Source organism: Homo sapiens, chromosome 8 (assembly GCF_000001405.40).
Source record: "Homo sapiens chromosome 8, GRCh38.p14 Primary Assembly".
In the NCBI taxonomy this organism is placed as follows: domain Eukaryota; kingdom Metazoa; phylum Chordata; class Mammalia; order Primates; family Hominidae; genus Homo; species Homo sapiens.
In genome coordinates, this window is record NC_000008.11 from 13,628,763 (window position 1) to 13,633,273 (window position 4,511).

The 4,511-nt window shown below is 41.0% G+C and overlaps 1 long non-coding RNA gene across 1 annotated transcript; it reads left to right on the forward strand.

Moving 5' to 3' along the window:
• The first annotated feature begins 927 nt into the window (after positions 1-927).
• Positions 928-3,814, forward strand: LOC102725080 (uncharacterized). The gene is made up of 2 exons (NR_134450.1): positions 928-990; positions 2,930-3,814. It is a non-coding gene; the product is annotated as an uncharacterized LOC102725080 (long non-coding RNA).
• The last annotated feature ends 697 nt before the right edge of the window (positions 3,815-4,511 follow it).

A 4,511-nucleotide genomic window follows, 5' to 3' on the forward strand; every position in this document is an offset into this window, starting at 1 on the left:
GCAAACAGTATCCAGTAAGACATTGTAGCAGAGGTAAACACCCCCTACTCAGATATCACTATAATGACTAATACTCTCCATATCTGTTTTCTGACAACTAAGTAGGAGGTAACTTGAGCCTTGATGTGACAAGTGTCGTCCCCGGACTAACAGCATCAGCTTTGCAGCCCCAGCTCTACTAAATCAAAACCTGTATTTTAACAAGATCCCCATTTATAGTTTGAGAATTGACGGCCTGGCACAGTGGCTCATGCCTGTAATCCCAGCATTTTAGGAGGCCGAGGCGGGCAGATCATGAGGTCAGGAGTACATAGTGAAACTATGTCTCTATTAAAAATACAAAAAATTAGCCAGGCATGGTGGCAGGCGCCTGTAATCCCAGCTACTTGGGAGGCTGAGGCAAGGAGAATCACTTTAACCTGGGAGGCAGAGGTTGCAGTGAGCCGAGATTGTGTGACTGCAGTCCAGCCTGGGTGACAGTGAGAGACTCCTTCTCAAAAAAAAAAAAAAAAAAAAAAAAAGAGAGAATTGATGATCTAGAGGGAATACGTGTGACATGTGGATGGAATATGGGGTATGCTAGAGGAGACACACTGGATAAGAGAAATAACACGTTTAAAGACAGGGAAACATACATAAGCATGAACTATTAGGAAAATTTTAGCTGGAAGGCTCTTTTTTCTTTACACATCCTAATAAGTGCCTGAGTGAGTGGTAGCAGTAGCAGCATTAACGATAGGAATAGTGGCAGCAGGAGTCATCATAGTAAGAGAAGCTAGAGACATGGGCAAGAATTCAGTTATGAAGAGTTGAAGGTGATTGTTAAAGTTCTGATGGAATTTAACGGGAGAGTGATGTAATGGAATGTATTTGCAAAGATCATTGTAGCAGCAGAATTCTGATAAGATGGAGGAAAGAAAAGCCAGAGTGAAGCAGACCATTAGCAGATAATTGTCATAATCTTGATACTAAATGGAGACCAGAATTAAGGTAGTTACTGTGGAGATTTAAAGAAAGGGTGATTATTCAGAAGAGAGAATTCACAGGCTGGGTGACCCATTGGAGGAAGGAGATGAGGAAGATGGAGTCATCAAGAATGACCCTAAGTTCTCACTAGCTGAGGTTGGGTCTCCCAGGAAGCAGACACAGCGGCAGAGATTTTTGTGCAGGGAGTTTATGGAGGAGAACTTAGGAATAACACCTGTAAGAGGGTGAGGGAAGAAGTGGAATTGGGCAAAGGGAGATGTGGAAGTGTGATGTAGTGGCACTGGAGGCTACATGGAGCTCTGGAGTTGCAATGGCCCATCACAGTGGCCCCAAGTAGAGACAATGAGGGTGAGCCTTTGTTCTCCATATTTAGTAATCACTGGATGTGGGCTACCCCAGGAAGGGGATACAAGCTTGGGTAAAAGAGATTCCTTTAGCTGAGGGCATTTCCTGGGGAAGTACACATTAATGAGTTGTCAGCATTCCTGTAGCAACTGGGGAAATGCAGGCCTCAGTCTTAGGAGTGAGATTAAGCTGGCACAGCCCACAACACAGTGTTCTTGTCTTGCATGTTCAGGCTGGAGATTTTAACATGCATTAAAATGAAAGAGTTCAGAAGAAGAGACAGATGTGTTAATAAATGGACATGTTTGATTTGATCAACATACTAGAGTTGATAATAAATTTATTAGATATAGGGGCCTTGAATTAACAGAGAGATCTGGAATTATAGATTTAGGAAGCTTCAGCCTGTAAATGGCAGTTGAAGCCATACTTATTGCTGAAATTGCATACAGTCAGAACACTGAATACAGAAACTTGAAGAACAACATCATTTCAGTCAGGAGTACCAAAAAGAGCTTTTAAGAAAACGGAAGCAGAAAATGGCATAGAAGAAGCTGAACCTAAAATATTCAGTGAGTAATAGTCTCCTGTGCTTTGAAGGGCACCAGCAGTGTAAGGAAGGCTATTTGTAAGGGATTTGGCATTGTGCCTGTCAGTGACTTCAGTGAGTGACAGCAGGGTCAGTGGAGTGACAGGTAGTGAGGGCTTGTAGATAAACCAGGTACGTTACTTTTTCAATAAATAAATTGCTCATATTGATTGCTAAAACTAAGAAAGCAGTAATAATTGGGGAGCTAAGGAAGAGATCATTGGAGGAGAGGTGAATGTGTCATTTACGGTCCTGGCAGGGAGGAGATGGCATACTCAAATTGAATAATTAGAGGGAAGTTCAGTAAAAGACAACTTTTAAAGGTATAAATTAGGTGAAAGGTAGGCCATGCAAGGACCCTGTATTAGTCCATTCTCACACTGCTATAAGGACATACCTGAGACTGGGTAATTTATAAAGGAAAGAGGTTTAATTGACTCAAAGTTCCACATGGCTAGGGAGGCCTCACAGTCATGGCAGAAGGCAAATGAGAAGCAAAGACATGTCTTATATGGCGGCAGGCAAGAGAGTGTATACAGGGGAATTCCCCTTTATAAAACCACCAGCTCTCATGAGACTTATTCACCATCATGAGAACAGCACAGGAAAGACCCACCCCCATGATTCAGTTACTTCCCAGAGGGTCACCCCTATGACACATGGGAATTACAGGAGCTACATTTCAAGGTGAGAGTTGGGTGGAGACACAGCCAAACCATATCAGACCCCAAGGCTGTTAAGATTATGGTCATGAGAGAGAGAGAGAGAGATAGAGAAATGGAGGAAGGGGGAGGGAAAGAGGAGGAGAAAGAGATAGAGATTTACTGATTTGTGTTAAGAGGGTGGCCTGACATTAGCTATGACCCCTTTGGTTGAAAGATTTAGTCAATCTATATCCTCCAGGATTCTCCAGATGATCCTCTAGGAAGAGAAAAGGGACATTAAATACCTGATCCCACACTCCTTCCTTCCTTTATTCTTTTTTTGGTATTCTCCATTCAAACTAAGTTGAAGTCAGAAGGCAAAGGATCCTTTGATGTAGTCCATTCAGAGCAGAAGGAGAAGAATGCAGAGTGGATCTGCAGGGACAAATAGAAGATGCAGCGCAATGGAGATACTGTTTAATGCCGCAGGGGACCTGGGCTCTTTTCGTCTCTCCTATGTAAAGAGAATTTCCTCCATCCAAGTAAAACTGATGCGATCGGTCAGCTTTCTAGACAACAGAAATAAATAATTCTCTCTGTGAGGAATGACAAATATTCCTATGACTATGAAAACTATAAATCTACTTTCAATTTATAATCTTAGAAAGATTCAGGGAAATGAACCATCTATGATATAGTAAAATGCACCAGAGACTGCACATTCTTAATAATATGTCGATTATGATAGTAGATTGTAGAAAAAAACACATAGTGTTAGAGTTTTACCTTTACCAATTGCCTCTTTGTTTTGTGGGTTTTTTGTTTTTTGTTTTGTTTTGTTTGTGTTTGGTATGAAGAAATGGAAAGCAGAGAAGCTTGGAGATTTACCAGGACTGAATTTCTTCACAGTCAACAATTGGCTCTTAAACTTGCAAAATATTTGGAGCATGTGTTTTTCTTTGCTTGTTAGTTTTCCCACACTACAGTTTTTCTAGATTTTGCTAATCCAAGTGCCTGGCTCATTTTTCCCTCAGCATCCTTATGCATTTCCTCCCCAGATCAAATTCCCTGCCTAAATTAGTACACATTTTTGTTCTTGAAGAAAGAACCGAATCAGAAAGAGAATCAAAATAGACCATTATTGTCCTGGCATGAAGACAAGCAATTATTGTATTCTTCATTGCAGTTTTTTCACTTAAAATCATCCCAGAGTCGTATAAGAGATTTAATAAAAATCATTTATCATGAATTTGATTTTTAAATTTTTAAAGTTACTTATTTGTTGTTGTTTTAGTGACAGATATATTTGGCTTGGAACTATTTGGGGACAAACTGAAAAAAAGAGAAGAAGCAGGTGAATTCTTTCAAAAGAGGTTTACTGTTTTTTCCTCTTCCAGCCTTGGTTTACTTTGAGAAAAAAAGCCTAGGGTGTATAGAGAGAGGGAAGGTGTGAAAGGGTGGTTTGGAGAGAGCCCTGGGAAGCCTATGGAGCCTTTAGTGGTCTTTAGCGCATTTAACACTAGAAGACAGAGCCCTTCAGGAGGCGCAGGGAAGGACACATGGATTCTGGCCCCTAGGCTGATGAAAGAAGGGCAGAAGTGATCCCCAGAGGGATTTCATTTGCAAGTAACCACTGATGCTGCTGCATGTGCCAATGGATTTTCTGAAGTTCCTAATTGCTCTTTGTGGTATAGTTTGAACTATAAATGAATTTCTAGGAGTGTTGATTCCTGCCCTAATCTGTATATTTGTGAACATTTTCTCTGGGCAGCCTTAGCCCTCAAAATAAGCTTAACATTGCTTTAATGAGGTGATATGGTTTGGCTCTGTGTCCCACGTGTGAAGTGACAGACATGGTAGGAGGTGATTGGATCATGGAGGTGGTTTCCTCCATGCTGTTCTCGTGATAGTGACTGAGTTCTCATGAGATCTAATGATTTAAAAGT